The sequence below is a fragment of the Homo sapiens genome, chromosome 19 (assembly GCF_000001405.40).
Source record: "Homo sapiens chromosome 19, GRCh38.p14 Primary Assembly".
In the NCBI taxonomy this organism is placed as follows: domain Eukaryota; kingdom Metazoa; phylum Chordata; class Mammalia; order Primates; family Hominidae; genus Homo; species Homo sapiens.
In genome coordinates this window covers 8606778-8624828 of record NC_000019.10, presented here as the reverse complement: position 1 = coordinate 8624828, position 18051 = coordinate 8606778, and the positions used below count along the sequence as shown (strand labels likewise).

At 53.0% G+C, this 18051-nt stretch overlaps 1 protein-coding gene across 6 annotated transcripts in view, besides 1 other annotated feature; it reads left to right on the top strand.

The window, feature by feature from the left end:
- The window catches only part of ADAMTS10 (ADAM metallopeptidase with thrombospondin type 1 motif 10), a 30476-nt gene continuing 26538 nt past the window's right edge, over positions 14114–18051 (top strand). For 2 of the 6 annotated variants that reach the window (NM_030957.4, XM_047439481.1), the window contains exons 1-2: positions 14114–14185; positions 16581–16695. The gene's annotated coding sequence lies outside the window, so the exon portion shown is untranslated. Of the gene's footprint in view, positions 14186–15956; positions 16696–18051 lie in introns of those variants that run through there. The other 4 variants (XM_017027338.3, XM_047439480.1, XR_001753770.2 and 1 more) reach the window with 2 other exon arrangements.
- Positions 14794–15216: a silencer, noted in NCBI's record as "fragment chr19:8674492-8674914 (GRCh37/hg19 assembly coordinates)". NCBI's record gives its function as "represses an EF-1alpha promoter that drives an FKBP-Casp9 reporter gene in an ReSE screen in HepG2 liver carcinoma cells {active_cell/tissue: HepG2}" and the evidence as "EXISTENCE:reporter gene assay evidence [ECO:0000049][PMID:32094911]".

The following is an 18051-nucleotide window of genomic DNA, read 5'->3' as shown; positions in this document are numbered from 1 at the left end:
CCAGGCTGGAATGCAGTGGTATAATAACAGCTCCCTGCAGCCTCAACCTCCCTGGGCTCAGGTGATCCTCCTGCCTCAGCCTCCCAAGTAGCTGGGACTACAGACTCATGCCACCACACCCAGCTAATTTTTTTTTTTTTGTAGAGACAGGGTCTTGCTATGTTGCCCAGGCCGGTCTCAAACCTCTGGCCTCAAAGGATCCTCCTGCCTCAGCCTCCCAAAGTGCTGGAGTTACAGGCATTAACCACTGTACCCAGCACTCAACCCCTTTTCAAATTGTTCCTAATCTATTCATGAGGGTGGAACCTTCATCACCTAAACACCTCCCCTTAGGCCCCACTTCCCAACACTGTTGCACTGGGGACTGAGTTTCCAACACATGTCTTTTGTGGGGACACATTCAAACCACAGTATACAGAAGACTGTGATGAATCTCACAGAGAAAATCCATGTGTTAGAGAAGCTTCATTCAGGCGCGAGTGGTCTTGCTGTTAGCCATGAGTTCAATGTGAATGAAGCAACTATATATATTTAACAAGGTGTCTTTAAAAATAAACACATATAGGCCGGGTGCAGTGGCTCATGCCTGTAATCCCAGCACTTTGGGAGGCCGAGGCAGGCAGATCACCCGAGGTCGGGAGTTTGAGACCAGCCTGACCAACACGGAGAAACCCTGTCTCTACTAAAAATACAAAATTAGTCGGGCATGATGGCGGGTGCCTGTAATCCCAGCTACTCGGGAGGCTGAGGCAGAAGAATCACTTGAACCCGGGAGGCAGAGGTTGCAGTGAGCCGAGATTGCACCATTGCACTCCAGCCTGGGTAACAAGAGCGAAACTCCATCTCAAAAAATAAAAAATAAATAAACACATATAGGGCCGGGTGCAATGGCTCACACGCCTGTAATCCCAGCACTTTGGGAGGCCAAGGTGGGCAGATCACTTGAGGCCAGGAGTTCAAGACCAGCCTGGCCAACATGGCGAAATGCCATGTCTACTAAAAATACAAAAATTAGCCAGACATGGTGGTGCGCACCTGTGGTCCCAGCTATTCTGGTGGCTGAGGCATGAGAATCACTTGAGCCTGGGAGGCAGAGGTTGCAGTGAGCCAAGATCCTGCCACTGCACTCTAGCCTGGGCAACAGAGCGAGACTCTGTCTCAATAAAATTAAATTAAATTAAATAACACATATAAACCAAGGTTATGTATTGATCAGTTGATTAAAATGCTGTGACCAGAGAGTCATAGGAACCTAACCTTTTATTTCCCCAGGAACAACAGTTTAGTGTTCCCTAATTCAGTGTCCATGGCGACATTAAAGAACAGAACTACCACAAGTAAAGAGAATCTACTCTGTGTGTATTCGTTTATTGGTTCTTTTGTCTTTTTCTAGTGCTATGAGAGTGGAGATGTTGTTCTCTTCTTCTGCCTGAACAAGGCACAGAGTAGGGGCCCAATAAATGTTTGTTGAATCAATCAGCTAATTAATAATATCAGAGTGGCCGGGCATGGTGGCTCACACCTGTAATCCCAACACTTTGGGAGGCGGAGGCAGGTGGATCACCTGAGGTCAGGAGCTCGAGACCAGCCTGGCCAAAAGGTGAAACCCTATCTCTAATAAAAATGCAAAAATTAGCTGGGCATGGTGGTGGGCACCTGTAATCTCAGCTACTCAGGAGGCTGAGGTTGGAGGACCACTTGAGCCCAGGAGTCTGAGGTTGCAGTGAGTTATGATGGCACCTCTGCACTCCAGCCTCTGGGTGGCAGAGTGGGACCCTGTCTCAAAAAAAAATAGTAAATAAAAGGCCAGGCACGGTGGCTCCTGCCTGTAATCTCAGCACTTTGAGAGGCTGAGGCGGGTGGATCACCACAGGTCTGCAGTTCAAAACCAGCCTGGCCAAAATGGTGAAACCCAGTCTCTACTAAAAATAACAAAAATTAGCTGGGCACGGTGGCGGGCACCTGTGATCCCAGTTACATGAGAGGCTGAGGCGGGAGAATTGCTTGAACCCGGGAGACAGAGGTTGCAGTGAGCCAAGATCATATAATTGCACTCCAGCCTGGGAGACAGAGAGAGACTCTGTCACACACACACACACACACACACACACACACACACACACACAAAATAATAATAATAGTAATAATAGCTTCTGTGCCAGGCACCATTCTAAGTCTCTTATAAGAATTACATATTTAATCTAACCCTCACCACAAGGAGCTTCCAATCTGGGTCTCAGATTCTGTGGCTGAAAAGTGGAGATAGGAAAAGGCTTAGGGACTGTGGAAGGGGGGGTGGGTCTGGAGGTCAGAGCCTGTTGGAGACGGGGGGGTTCAGGGGAGACAGTTGCAGCTGAGACTAGGTCCCAGCCCAGCCCAGATACAGCAGGAGACAGCAGGGAGACGGCTCCAGGGGACACTGGCATGGAAGCAAGAGGGGGCAAATCATGGTCTACATGTACAATGGAATATCATTCAAACTTAAAACATGTATGAGCAGCCAGGCATGGTGGCTCACGTCTGTAATCCCCAGCATTTTGGGAGGCCGAGGCGGGTGGATCGCCTGAGGTCAGGAGTTCAAGACCAGCCTGACCAATATGGTGAAACCCTATCTCTACTAAAATACAAAAATTAGCCAGGCGTGATGGCAGGTGCCTGTAATCTCAGCTGCTTGGGAGGCTGAGGCAGGAGAATTGCTTGAACCCGGGAGGTGGAGGTTGCAGTGAGCTGAGATCACACCATGCTCTCCAGCCTGAGCAATAAGAGCGAAACTCTGTTTCCAAAAAAAAAAAAAAAAAAGCATATGAGCTTGCTAGGGCTGCCAAGAAAATGCACCACAGACCTGGCTAAAACAACAGAAATTCATTTTCTCACAGTTCTGGAGGCTGGAGGTCCAAGTTCAAGGTGTCAGTAGGGTTGGTTTCCTCTGAGGCCTCTCTCCTTGACTTGTAGATGGCCACCTTCTCTCTGCGTCTTCACCTGGTCGTTGTTGGAGGGCTGGTGGGGCAGGGTTTTAAATGCTCACAAAGGCCAGACTTTGTGGCTCACTGTAATCCTAGCACTTTTGGGAGGCTGAGGCAAGATGATTGCTTGAGGTCAGGACCTTGAGACCAGCCTGGGCGACAGAGCGAGACTCCATCTCAAAAAAAAAAAAATACTTGGCCCCTTCTACCAGACCCAGGCCACCCCAGAAAAGGTGGCCAAGGGCTACTCCATCCAGGCATGACTTCCTTGGAGGACTGGGAGATGGATGCCCGGGCAAGCAAACCACTTGGGCATCTCTGGTCCTCAGCACCAAAGACAGCTGGTTCTAGATGAAGAACTGGAGCCCCAGAAGCCAACTCGGGTTTTTCTGAAGTTGGACCCGCAGTCCGATACCTTCCTCCCCGCTCACTCACCACCCCTCCACCCCAAGCAAGGGGTAAGGAGGTCACACCCCAGGGTCTCTCACTCAGGGGTGGGGGATTTTTTTTTTTTTTTTTTTGAGGCAGGGTCTTGCTTGTTGTCCAGTCTGGAATGCAATGGTGCAATCACAGCTCACTGCAGCCTCCAACTCCTGGGCCCAAGCAATCCTCTCGCCTCCTCCTCCCAAAGTACTGGGATTACAAGCATGAGCCACCACACCCAGCTGGGGATGGGAAATTTTAGTCACCTTCTGCCAAGTGTCCCCTGAAACCTCTGGGGTGGTCAAGGTGGCAGAACAGGACCAGAAGGTGCAAAGACAGCCACCCCAGCAGGTGCACCAGGGGCGGCACAGAGGCCCACCCAGAACAGGACAAGAAAGGGAGCAGTGTTTGAAGTTTACATCGAAATCACAAAGCGCGGGGAAATCGAGGAAAATCATGGGGGATGCCGGGAGCTGCACCGCATCTGCCCCAGCTGCAGAGGGGAAACTGAAGCCAACCCCAGGCCAGGTCTGTGGGATAATCACACCAGGAGCCAAGATGGGAGCCAGCCAGGGCGGGAAACACGTGAAGCAGGATCAGAGCATCTCCTGGGACGGGCTGAGACCGGGAAGCCAGGGATGCCCAGAAGAGACCGGATGCAGTCAGGAGGATATCAAAGAAGGATCAGAAGAAATTAACATTGCATGAAGTCGCAGAGACAGGGCATCTCCCCAGTACCCAGCACGTAGACCTCCTCAACACAGCTGCACCCAATCAAACATCCCCTCCTGCCTCATCCTCATCTTCCTCCTGTCCCATGCAGCCTGGACACCTGGGCGGTTTGGGGCACCCCCCACCCCCGAACTGTGACAGCATCCACCTCACACTTGGGCCAGGCACACAAACCTCACGTCTGCTCCCTGGGACCAGGGACCTGTAGGGACCGCCCGCTCCACGATCTGTTTCCGCCCTTTCTATCCACTTCACCAGCACTGCTCCCTCCATGTGGCCTCAGGGACCTGCACAGAGCTGTCCAGCCCACCTGTTGTGACCTGGTCCCCAGCCTGCCTGAGGTTTTCTCCATGCCCACACTCCAGCCTCCCATCCAGAGACTTCCTCCCTAAGTCTCTATTCTTCCTCTCCCCACGCAGAAAATCTCTTTCCTAGACTCTGGGCTGGGATACTTCTTTCTTTCTTTTTTTTTTTTTTTTTTTTTTTTGAGACGGAGCCTGGCTCTGTTGCCCAGGCTGGAGTGCAGTGTCACGATCTTGCCTTGCCACAACCTCCACCTCCCAAGTTCAAGTGATTCTCCTGCCTCAGCCTCCTAAGTAGCTGGGACTACAGGCACGCCACCATGCCCGGCTAATTTTTGTATTTTTAGTAGAGATGGGATTTCACCGCGTTGGCCAGGCTGGTCTCGAACTCCTGACCTAGTGATCCGCCCGCCTCAGTCTCCCAACGTGCTGGGATTACAGGCGTGAGCCAGCACACCCGGCCTACTTGTTTCCTATACAAGATTCTCTCTGGCTCACACCTATAATCCAGCATTTTGGGAGGCCAAGGCGGGCAGATCACCTGAGGTCAGGAGTTTGAGACCAGCCCAGCCAAGATGGTGAAACACCGTCTCTACTAAAAATACAAAAATTAGCTAGGCATGGTGGTGCATGCCTGTAATCTCAGCTACTCGGAAGGCTGAGGCATGAGAATTGTTTGAACCTGGGTGGTGGAGGTTGCAGAAAGCTGAGATTGCACCAGGACTGCACTCCAGCCTGGGCGACAGAACGAGACTCCATCCCAAAAAAAATAAAAATAAAAACATTCTCTCAAAGCTGTTTTTGCTGGAAGCCTTCCCTATCCCCGTAGGCACTGTGGAACTTCGGGTCCAGAAAATGCCTCTCTTTTTCCAAGGTGGACACCCCCTTCTTGGGGATATGAGACCAGTGCCCTTGCTCAGGGAAAGAACAGAGTAGAATAATAATAACCACAAATATTTAAAAACAAACAAAAAAATTTAAACAAAGATTAAAACCAAATAAAGAAAAATAAAGATTAATAAACAGAAACATTTCTAAAAATCAAAACAAAAACAAACAAATGTTAATAAACAAAGCATTTTAAAAATCAAAACAAAAAGCAAGTAAGATTAATAAACAAAAAAAATCAAACCAAAAACAGATTGGGCGCGGTGGCTCCTGCCTGTAATCCCAACACTTTGGGAGGCTGAGGTGGGAGGATCACTTGAGGCCAGGAGTTTGAGACCAGCCTGGGTAGGTGAGACCTTGTCACTACAAAAAATTTTTAAAAATTAGCCAGTTGTGGTGGTGAATGTCTGTAATCCCAGCTACCCAAGAGGCTGAGGCAGGAGGATTAATTGTACCCAGGAGTTGGAGTCTGCAGTGAACTGTGATGGTGCCACTGCACCTCAGCTTGGGTGACAGCGAAAGACCTTGTCTCTTTAAAAAAAAAAAAAAAAAAAACAGTCCGTGCGCAGTGACTCATGCCTGTAATCCTAGCACTTTGGGAGGCTGAGACGCGCAGAGCATGAGTTCAGGAGATCAAGACCAGCCTGGCTAACACAGTGAAACCCTGTCTCTACCAAAAATACAAAAAAAAAAAATTAGCCAGGCGTGGTGGCAGGTGCCCGTAGCCCCAGCTACTCAGGAGGCTGAAGCAGGAGAATGGCGTGAACCTGGGAAGCGGAGGTTTCAGCGAGCCACGAAGGCGCCACTGGACTCCAGCCTGGGCGACAGAGTGAGACTCTGTCTCAAAAAAAAAAAAAAGCCTGTAATCCTAACACTTTGGGAGGCCGAGGCTGGTGGATCACCTGAGGTCAGGAGTTCAAGACCAGCCTGGCCAATATGGTGAAACCTCTTCTCTACTAAAAATACAAAAATTAGTCTGACGTGGTGGCGGGTGCCTATAATCCCAGCTACCTGGGAGGCTGAGGCAGGAGAATCACTTGAACCCGGGAGGCAGAGGTTGCAGTGAGCCGAGATCGCACCACTGCACTCCAGCCTGGGTGACAGAGCAAAACTCTGTCTCAGGAAAAAAAAAAAGATAAAGAAAAAATTGTTTAACTTTAAAAAATTAAAAATCAAAACAAAATAAGAAATAGTAACAACAAAACCAGAACTAATCATAATAGCTACCACTTACTTTGTGCCTGGCACTATGGTAATAAGCACTTTACCATTAATAGTGTTGAATCCTCACAGCCACCTGATTAAGCCCATTTTCCAGATGAGAAAACTGAGGTGTGGAGAAGTTTAAATAATGGACAAAGATCGGCAAGGTGGGATTTGAACCCCCAGTCCTCAGTATTAAAAGATGAAGGAGGGTGAAACGTTAGTTGTGAAATATCACGCTACAGAGGGACCAGCCTTACAGAGGTGTAAAGGTTTAGGTCTAGAGGGGCTTGAGGCAAGTATGTTGCACGTGGAACATTTAGGCACTATGTGGGTTGAGAAACCTCCAGATAGCTGGGGGCTTCCGGCCATGGGGACTTTCAACTGTTGTAGGACACTGACCTGGCAGCCACCGAATCCTTTTGGGCCCCAAAACTGCATGGGGCAGGGGTGAAGGGGGTGGACCCAGCCCTCAGATCATTCTGGGCTCAGCTTGCAAGATAAGATTATCTGTGATATCCAAATGAAGGCCGATTAATGTGTTTTTTGTTTTGTTTTTTTGAGATGAAGTCTCGCCTTGTCCCCCAGGCTAGAGTGCAACGGGGCGATCTCGGCTTGCTGCAACCTCTGCCTCCCGGATTCAAGCGATTCTCCTGCCACAGCCTCTCGATTAGCTGGGATTACAGGCGCGCACCACCACACCCGGCTAATTTGTGTATTTTTAGTAGAGACAGGGGTTTCACCATGTTGGCCAGGCTGGTCTAGAACTCCTGACCTCAGGTGATCCGCCTGCCTGGGCCTCCCAAAGTGCTGGAATTACCGGCGTGAGCCACTGCGCCTGGCCAAATGTGTGTTTTGAATTTCAAGAGGAAGGGGGGTGGGGGTGGGAGAGTTGCGTTGCCTCTGCCAGGAGGGGTTTGAGTAAATAAATATTCACTCCAAGAGAATCTCATAGGAAACTGAGACCTGCCCTTCCCTCTCTCCCACGTCCAGGATTTTGGGCAGGCCATGCCCCCAGCTTGAAACTCCCTTCCTCCCCGTCTTTAACTGCCTAAGTCTTCCCTGCCCCTGAAACTTGGAGATGAATTTTGATTTCAAATGACCTTGAGAAGGCGTGATTTATCTCCACATTTAAGAAGATACCAAGCCACAGAGCTGGGGGAAAACGCCCAGCAGATGGGCTAAGGGTTAGGAGCTCCATTGTCAGGTGTAGTGACTTATGCCTGTGATCCCAGGACTTTGGGAGACCAAGGCAGGAGGATCACTTGAGCCTAGGAGTTCAAGACCAGCCTGGGCAACACAGCAAGACCCCATCTCCACAAAAAAAAATTTTTAAATTAAGCGAGCATGGTGACGCATGCTGTAGTCCCGGCTACTTGGGAGACTGAGGTGGGGTGATCTCATGAGCCCAGGAGTTTGAGACCGCCTGGTGAACATAGCAAGTCCCCATCTCTACAAGAAAAAAAAATTTTAAATAGCCAGACAAAATAGAGCATGCCTGTAGTCCCAGTTTCCTGGGAGGCTGAGGTAGGAGAATTGCCTGAGCCCGGGAAATTGAGGCTGCAGTGAGTCATGAGTGTGCCACTCGTCTCCAACCTGGGCAACAGGACAACACCTTGTCTCAAAAAAAAAAAAAAAAAAAAAAAAAAAGAGAAAGAGAGAGATGGGAGCTCTACCCACTGGGAAAAGAGTCAGCCCTCAGCACAATGATCCCAGGGCCCCCCCAGGACTCCCTCCTCCCCCGATCCTAGGGGAAGGTCTTCAGCCTCAAAGTTCACCTGCCTTCCCCCTAAATGGTCAAATTATGGGTGACTTTTACCTTGGTTGCTCTATTCTGGTTCTACCAATCCTAGCTGAGAGACCTTGAACAAGTTACTCAACCTCTCTGGGCTTAGTTTCCTCAGTTGCAAAATGGGCACCTACCTTGTAAGGCTGTCGTGAAGTTAAGACAGACCTCACAGCCCCTGCTCCATCGCCATCACCATCATTATCACCATTATCATTGCTTCTTCTTTTTTTTTTTTTTTTTTTTTTTTGAGACGGAATCTCAATCTGTCACCCAGGCTGGAGTGCAGTGGCACGACCTTGGCTCATTGCAACCTCCGCCTCCCGGGTTCAATCGATTCTCTCGCTTCAGCCTCCTGAGTAGCTGGGATTACTGAATAGCTGGGATTACAGGTGCACACCACCACGCCCGTCTAACTTTTGTATTTTTAGTAGACACGGGGTTTCACCATGTTAGGCAGGCTGGTCTCAAACTCCCGACCTCGTGATTCGCTCGCCTCGGACTTCCAAAATGTTGGGATTACAGATTACAGGCGTGAGCCACCGCGCCCTGCCGATTATCATTACTTCTATTTTCCTAGTTCCTACTTTCCAAGGGCAACAATGGAGTTCCATTGCGCCCTCCTGTGGCAGAGCTGCAGTACTGCATCCCTAGGCACAACCACTCCGGGTTCTAAAGGTTGCAAAGAATCTGAAAAACAATTTTTTCTTTTAAGTCAGTCCAGACTGGTTTAAATAAAAAGAGAATGGGCACAGGAACCTTGCAGTTACTGTGCACTCCTCCTAGAACGCCTTCACCCTCACACTGCCTCTTTTTTTTTTTTTTTTTTTTTTTTTTTTGAGACAGGGTCTCACTCTGTCTCCCAGGCTGGAGTACAGCGGCATGTTCACAGCTCACTGCAACCTCGAATTCCCTGGCTCAAGTGATCCTCCCGCCTCAGCCTCCCAAGTAGCTGGGACTACAGGTACGCATCACCATGCCCAGCTAATTTTTTTTTTTCCAGTAACAGGCTCTCTTTCTTAACATTCAAACCACAACATCATTGTCACCTCTTCTGAGAGCCCTTTTATTTACTAGTGAGCCTATTTATTCAACGGTGGGCACTAACTGTGGGTGAGACCCTGCTAGGCACCAAGGATACTGCTGTGGACCACACAGACAAAAACCCCTTCCCTCACGGAGCCGGCATTCCGGTGGGAGACACAGGAAGCCAGCAGATATAAGTATTCCATAGAGTAGGTCCAGTAGTGACTCACACTAAGAGTAAAATAAATCAGGGAGTGGGAAAGGAAGCCCGTTGGGGTGTCATGTTGAAGTGAGGGGATCAGTGCAGGCCTCCCTAAGGAAACGATGTTTGAGTCAAAACTTGAAAGATGGCCAGGTGCAGTGGCTCACGCTTACAATCCCAGCACATTGGGAGGCTGAGGCAGGCAGATCACTTGAGGTCAGGAGTTTGAGACCAGCCTGGCCAACATGGCAAAATCCCATCTCTACTAAAAATACAAAAATTAGCCAGGCGTGGTGGCATGCGCCTGTAATCCCAGCTACTCAAGAGGCTGAGGCAGGAGAATCGCTTGAACCCAGAAGGCAGAGGTTGCAGTGAGCTGAGATCGTGCCACTGCACTCCACAGATCACGCCACTGCACTCCAGCCTGGGTGACAGATCAAGACTCTGTTTCAAAAACAAAAAAAAATTTGCAAAGACAAAACAGAGCTGGCCATGGAATAAGGGGGTTGGGGAGGGAGGGTGTTCCAGGCACAGGGAACAGCAAGTGCAAAGGCCTTGAGGCAGGACGGTGACCTTTGTGGGATGGAGATTGTTGTTCCTGCCATGTCCCCAGTACCTGGATCAGCACCTGATACAATATAGTGCTCAATAAAGAGTGTGACTGGATTAAAGCCCATCTATGGGCTTCAGGAACAGCTTGCTCAGGGCTCAAATGATGATGGCCCCAAGGCCATTACTCTCCTCCATCTGCTCCATCTGGTGACTTCGTTCATTTTTTATTTTTATTTTATTTATTTACTTAACTTTTTTTTTCTCTTTTTTTTTAGAAAGAGTCTCACTCCATCACCCAGGCAGAAGTGCAGTGGCCCAATCTCAGCTCACTGCAACCTCCACCTCCTGGACTCAAGCCTCCCACCTCAGCCTCCCGAGTAGCTGGGACCACAGGCATGCACCACTACGCCCTGGCTATTTCTCTGTATTTTTTAATAGAGATGGGCTCTTGCCATGTTGTCCAGGCTGGTCTCGAACTCCTGAGCTCAAGCGATCCACCTGCCTTGGCCTCCCAAAGTGCTGGGATTACAGGAGTGAACCCACATTCCCAGCTGGCTTCATTCTTATAAGAGGCCTCCCTCTGTTGTCTAAGATAGGGACTCAGCTTCAAATCCATCCCACTCAAGACACAGAAGTCAGGCCAGACTTGTTGGCTCACAGCTGTAAATCCCAGCAGTTTGGGAAGCCGGGGCAGGGAGATTGCTTGAGGCCAGGAGTTCAAGACCAACCTGGACAACAGAGAGAGACCCTGTCTCTACAATTTGAGGCCAGGCACAGTGGCTCACACCTGTAATCCCAACACTTTAGAAGGCTGAGGTGGGCGGATCACTTAAGGCCAGGAGTTCAAGACCAGCCTGGCCAACATGGCAAAGCCCCATCTCTACTAAAAATACAAAAATTAGCCGGGCGTGGGTGGCTCATGCCTGTAATCCCAGCTACTTGGGAGGCTGAGGCAGGAGAATCGCTTGAATCCGGGAGGTGGAAGTTGCAGTGAGCCGAGATCGCGCCACTGCACTCCAGCCTGGGCGACAGAGCAAGACTCTGTCTCAAAAAAAAAAAAAAAAAAAGAACTTAATCGGGCATGGTGGCTCACATGTGTGGTCCCAGATACTCAGGAAGCTGAGGCAGAAGGATCATCTGAGCTCAGGAGTTCGAGGCTGCAGTGTGCTATCATCATACCACCTCACTCTAGCCTGGGCAACAGAGCAAGATCTTGTCTCAAAAGAAAAAGACAGAAAAGGGCCGGGTGTGGTGGCTCACACCTGTAATCCCAGCACTTTGGGAGGCCGAGGCAGGCAGATCACGAGGTCAGGAGTTTGAGACCAGCCTGGCCAAGGATAGTGAAACCCCATCTCTCCTAAAAATACAAAAATTAGCCAGGCGTGGTGGCACGTGCCTGTAGTCCCAGCTACTCGGGAGGCGGAGGCAGGAGAATTGCTTGAACCCAGGAGGCAGAGGTTGTGGTCAGCCGAGATCGCGCCATTGCACTCCAGCCTGAGCAACAGAGCGAGACTGCATCTCAAAAAAAAAAAAAAAAAAAAAGGAAAAAGAAAAAGACACAAAAGTTTGTTTCCCAAGACTCATCACAAATGCCTCAACACAGCTCACTGGAGGCTTCAGGTGGGGAAGGTGCATCCCCTAAACAATCGGCCAGGCCCTAGAGGGCCACACGCCCTTGAGGAAATAAAGAGACCCCCCCACCCCAGTGAAGTCTGGGGCTGTGGTGGGAAGTAGTGGGTGTAGAACTGTCAAAGTTTCACAGAGTAATTATAATGAGAGGTTTCACAGCTAGGAGTGCCAGAACCTAGGAGTGCCAGAACCTAGGAGCGCCTGGCTCAAAGCAACCCTGAAATTCCCAGTGCGGTCTGGAAACCACCCATCCTTAAGAGGAGGGACAGGTGGGCTGGGTGCAGTGGCTCACGCCTGTAATCCAAGCACTTTGGGAGGTCAAGGTGGTCGGATCACTTGAGGTCAGGAGTTCAAGACTGGCCTGGCCAACATGGTAAAACCCCATCTCTACTAAAAATACAATTAGCCGAGCATGGTGGCAGGTGCCTGTAAACCCAGCTACTCGGGAGGCTGGGGCTGGAGAATTGCTTGAACCCGGGAGGCGGAGGTTGCAGTGAGCCAGGATCACACCACCACACTCCAGCCTGGGCAACACAGCAAGACTCCATCTCAAAAAAAAAAAAAAAAAAAAAGTAGGGACAGGTGGCTGGACCAGTCACTAGGCTAACAGTGGGAGCCTTTAGTATCTACAGCAAAGAAAGGAAGCCACCACCTCTTTGATGGAGAAAGAGGGCCCCATAGGTAGTAGAAGAACAGCTAACAGAGGCCAGAAATGGCTGACTTAGACTCGTTCCTCAAATGGGGGCCCGAGAGGCCCTGGTGGGAAGGAGGGAGTGTGGGGAGCAAACAGGAGGGTGGGGGCTGCACCTCTGGTCTAGCCTGGAGTCCCAGGAGGTTGGGGTAAGGTAGTGTGGTGGGAACTCCAGGAGTCTGGTATTTATGCAGCACCTGCTGTATGCGTGAGTAATGACAGGTCATTCCAAGTTCAAAAGGAAAAATTCCGAGTTGGGAAGCTGCCCTCCTGGTCTCAGCTGTGTCCCTGGAACCCAGCACATAACAACAAATCTTTGCTGCAGAATGAAACCCCTCCTCCACCCCCTACTCCAGCCCTGGGAAGGCTGTTATTACCCCCACTGTGTGGATGAGTAAACCCAGACTCAGACAAAGCCAAGGCCAAGGCTCTGGCCAGCTCCCTGGGGGGGGGCGTTCCTGGGAAATGCCTGCAATTGTGAGGCCTGGGGGTCACCGCCCTTCCCTGGAACCAGGCACTGTACCAGGCGCCTGGGATTCAAATCCCAGCCCTGCCCCAACCATCCAGGTCCTCCTCATTCACGCATTCGTTCATTTTATGGAGCGAGACCCAGAGTGACCAAGACCAAGAGGGCTCCGGTTCCAACAGAATTTTCACTCTCCCCATCTCTGTGGCCTCAGTTTCCTCATCTGTGAAATGGGACCAGCTGAGCCTACGTCACCGCAAAGGAGTTAAGGCACAGAGACCAAGGCCAGGCCCAGGACCGATCAAACCCCCCTGAGAGCTCGGAGAGGGCGGGGCCGAGCTGGGACTTATTTCCCGCCCCGGGCACCGTGCCTGGCACACGGGAGGCGCCCAATAAATGCTTGTTTGAGCCAGGCCCAGCCCTCAATAAATAACAGCTGTTGTTGATGCCGCAGAGGCTGGCGAGGAAGTGGGCTCTCCCCTCCCCAACCCCAGCATCTCATGCTCCCATCCCCCCTCCAGCCCCATTCCTTACCCCCCTCCATTCCTTCCCGTGGCCCCCAACCCAACTCAGCCCCTTCCTCCAGGCCCCCACCTCCCCCCAACCCACTCAGCCCCTCCTCCAGGGCCCCACCTCCCCCAACCCCACTCAGCCCCTCCTCAAGGGCCCCACCTCCCCCCACCCCACTCAGCCCCTTCCTCCAGGCCCCCACCTCCCCCCACCCCACTCAGCCCCTCCTCCAGGCCCCCACTTCCCCCCACCCCACTCAGCCCTTCCTCCAGGCCCCCACCTCCCCCCACCTCACTCAGCCCCTTCCTCCAGGCCTCCATCTCCCCCTACCCCTTCCCATTCAAACTTCCCCCTCCCCCAACCTCTCCCTTCTCTTCCTCCCTTTCCCCGAACCCCCACCCACCCAATTCTGCCTCCATCCCCATCCCCCACCTGATTCTTTCTCCCCTCCCCCACCCATTCTCCCCGCCGCCACTCGATTTCTCCCGCTTCGTCCCCTCCCCGCCCCCCGCGGTTCCCCAGCCCCCTCCCACGCGGCGGGGGCGCTGGTCCCGGGCGGGGCGGCCCGAGTTCCCGGGTCCCTGGCTGGGGTCCAGCCCGCGGCCCAGGCCGGGCGGCGGCAGGCGGGCGGGGTTTCTGGCCGCGCGCAGTTTGGGGGTTTTTTTATAACCCTGGCAGGCGGCTCAGGAAGTGCCTTCCCCGCGCCCCCTCCCCTGGCCACGCCGCCGCGCTCGCTCGCTCCCTCCCTTCCTGCGCGCGCGGGGCGGCGAGACAGCGGCGGCGACGGCGCGGAGGCCCCGGGCGCGGCGCAGGTAGCGGCGCGGGCGGGGGGCCCGGGGGTGCGTGATTCAGTGGGACTTTGTGTGTCCGCATCGGGCTGTGAGGGCGTGGGGCTGTGGTGCCCTGGATGGGGGAGGGCATCCCGCTGTGCGACTCCGGTCGGTGCCTGAGGTCCGCAAGTGCGCGCGCCACTGATCACGCCCGGGGTTGCCGTGGGTTTGTTTGCGCTGTGTGTGTGTGTGTGTGTGTGTGTCCGTCCACGTAGGGGCAGAGTGGTTGTGCATTACATGTGTGTGTCAGTGCCTGGGGATGAGTCTCTTGTGTGTCTGTGTGTTTGGACAGTGTGTGCGCATAGGGGTTTGCTATGTGCGCGCAGATCTGGAGGCGAGTGTGTGTGTGTCTGGGTTTGTGTGTGTGTCCCCAAGCATGTGTGCGTTTGTCTCTGACCGTGATGAGTGTGTAAATACCTGTGTGTGTGTGTCTGGTGTGGGGGGGTGTCTAGGTCTGTGGGACTTGTGAGTTTGTCTCTGGTTTGGTGTGAGCATGCAAATGAGTGTGTATGTGTCAGCGTGTAGGCCTGTGTGTCTGTCTCCTTGGGTTGTCTGTGTATGTATGTGTGTGTTTCTGTTTGTGTAGGCCCCGGGTGCGTGTATTTGTGTGTCCGCGTGTTTCTCTGTCTTGTCCCGTGTGTGCGCGTGTAAATGAGTGTGTGTTTACACATGTCTGGGAGTGTGTGGTTGTGTGTCTCCATGTGTTTGTCTCCGGGTGTGTGAGTGTGCACTGAGCCTGTCGGCGTGTGTGTCTGCGGTGGAGGCGTCCTGCGTCTTTTGTGGGTCTACAGTGCCCGAGCGCCGGTCTCTGGTTGCGCGGGGTGTGTGTCGCTGCCAGTGTGTGTTTGTGTGTCTGGGTGTGGGAGTGGCGCCGCCCACTTCCCCTGAGTTGGTCAGTGAGGCCACAGCCGTCTGTCTCAGGGTGTCTCCAGCGGTCGGGCTCAGGGCCTTTAATTAGCGGCCGGTTGTGGGGGACCAGCCCGGGCGCCGGCCCCCTCCTCCCGCAGGCCCCGGCTGGGCCTTTGTCTGCTCTCCGGCAGGGACTGCCTCCTGCCGGCCCGGCCAGATGTGCAGCCGGGAGGAGGCCGGCAGGCTGGGGCCTCTGCCTGGGGAGACGCGGCCTTGGCCTCCACGGGGGACCTTCCGTCGGCCCTGTCCCCGCAGCCTGGCCGGAGAGGTTTGGGTGTGGAGCTTAGGGTCCCTTCAGGATCCCCGGGATGGGATGGGATGGGACAGAGCCTCTGTTTCTAAGCCATTTCCATTTCCCGGAGGCATTTCCTCCTCCAGGCCTGGCACCCTCCCCCACGCTGGCCACCTCCCTCCTGCCTTCGGGGAGGAGGGGCTGGAGGAATGGCCAGGCCTGGGTACACACACACACACACACACACACAGGGTCACACACACTCACAAGCCATAATGCACATGCAGTCACACGCTCACAATCACACACAGGGTCACACACACTCACATACATGCTGTAATGTACATGCAGTCACACACACACGCCACAGTGCAGATCCCTCACTGACATCCTGTTGGCCACCACCGTCTCTGTCCCTGAGCCTCTCTCAAGCTTCATCTTTGGCCCCAGACCCACTGCCTTGTTCATGTCCCCCCACCACCTGGTGCCCTGGGCTGTGTCACACCTCGACACCACCCTGTGGGCTGGACCCCCAGCTCAGACGCCTGTGAGCCTTCTGCAGACCCCCCTCCTCCCCCTACCCCATACACTGTGCACAGGTGAGTCCCCTTCCCCTGTCCTCACCCCCTGTGCTGGGTCCTTCCACAATGTCCCAAACCTTGTCCCTCACACCCCACCTGAGCCCAAAGCACAGAAGGGGGTGTGAGGGTTTTGGGAGGAGCGCCTCACTTCAGAGGACAGTGATGAGGACTGAGGGTCTTAGGGGGACCAGGACAGACCCAAAGACACTCTAGACAAGACCAGAGAGAGCCCCTGAAGGAGGAGGATGGGGCACCAGGCCTGGCAATGCAAGAACAGGAGAGGAGGGAGGGAGCCAGTGGGAGAAAGGGGTGAGGTCCCTGCTTCACTTGCAATGAGAATGTTCCTACCTTTCAGGGGTGGCTCAGGGCAGGAGCGGGGGTCAGAGGTGCCCAACCAGGAAGGGCCTTGATCTGGGAGTTGGCTGACACTTCCAAAGAAGGAATAGGGAAGAAGAAGCAAGAAGAGAGGGAGAGGGAGAGGAGGTGGGTTTTTGTTGGAGGGGGTTCATTAGGAACAGAAGAAAGAAGAAGTCTAAGAGGAAGTTCTCCAGGGGCAGAGAGAGGGTCAGAATTTCCTCAGTGATCCCTCAACTACAGACCCAGCTCAGTGCTGAAGACCAGCCCGGCTCCTCCTCTTTGACCCCTCCCTGCCCAGGCTCCAAAGAAGAAGAAACCAAGGCCCAGAGAGGGAGGCCCAGGTGCAGGGAGCAGGCGAGGGAAGGATCCGTACAGGGGCCCAACACTACTCCACCAACCGAAGCCCCCAAAAGGTAAAAAAAATAAAAAGGAGAGAGAGGCCAGGTGCTGTGGCTCACGGCTGTAATCCCAGCACTTTGGGAGGCCAAGGCGGGCTGATCATGAGGTCAAGAGATCGAGACCATCCTGGCCAACATAGTGAAACCCCGTCTCTCCTAAAAATACAAAAATTAGCTGGGCATGGTGGCGCACACCTGTAGTCCCAGCTACTCGGGAGGCTGAAGCAGGAGAATCGCTTGAACCCGAGAGACAGAGGTTGCAGTGAGCAGAGATCACACCACTGCACTCCACCCTGGCGACAGAGTGAGACTCCGTCTCAAAAAAAAAGAGAGAGAGAGAGAGAGAACAACAACAGAAGGAATGGACATTAGCCCAGCTAAAGAGTGCAACAGGGGTCACAGAATATCTGTGAGTGAGCTCCCCGTCACTAGAGGGATCCAAGCAGAAGTGGGGAATGTGGGCTTCTTGGTCCATCAGCAACTTGGCAAAAACCTGGCTCCCTCCCTTGGGGCTGAACTGCCCTGTTTGGGGATTGACTCTCAGACTTGGACTCTCAGACTTGGCTGGGCTGCAAAGAAAACAAGACTCTGTGATTAAGGGATTTTGCACAGAGGAGGAGGAGGGTGGAGACAGCAGGGTGGGGGAAGAGGGTTTGGCACAGGGTGGTGGCCCAAAGTGGTGTCTGCGGCAGGCTGGCCTGGGGCAGATGCTGGAGAGACTGAGACCTGCGGGGCGGGCTGGCTTGGAGCCTTGAAAGAATCTGAATGGAGGACGGGGTCAGAAACACAGGGTGGAGGAGAGGCCTGGGAGGTGGGAGTGAATAGTGCTACCCAGTGCAGAGAATCCAAAGATGGCCCAAGACAGTGGGTGCGTGGGTGGGCATATGAAAGTCTGCAGGACTGGAATACTAGCCTTAGCTTTAAAAATCTGGCTTGAATGGTGCTACCCATTTCAGATAATCCAAAGACAGGGCCCAGGACAGTAGATGCATGGGTGGGAGCCTTAGCTCTAATCTGGCTTGAAAATTCACACCGACCAGCCCCCCCTTCAAGTGCCTCTGATGCCAGCCTCCCCTTGCTCTCCTGCACCCACCCTGTCTGGGCTCATGCCAGGCTCTACCCAACCTCCAGGCCTTTGACCTTGCTGTTTCCCCTCCTGGTGCACCTTCGCCTGTCTCTTCACACCATTGATTTCTTATGCTTTGAACCTCTGCTTCCCAGTCTCCCCATTGATACCTTCTAGAGAACATGTCACAATCTGAACTATTCTCCATTCACTTGACTGTCATCTGTCACTCCTAAGAGATGGAACCCCACAGGGCTAGGGCAAGTAGGGGTTGCTATCCTTAGCATGCCTGGCTGTCATGCCCC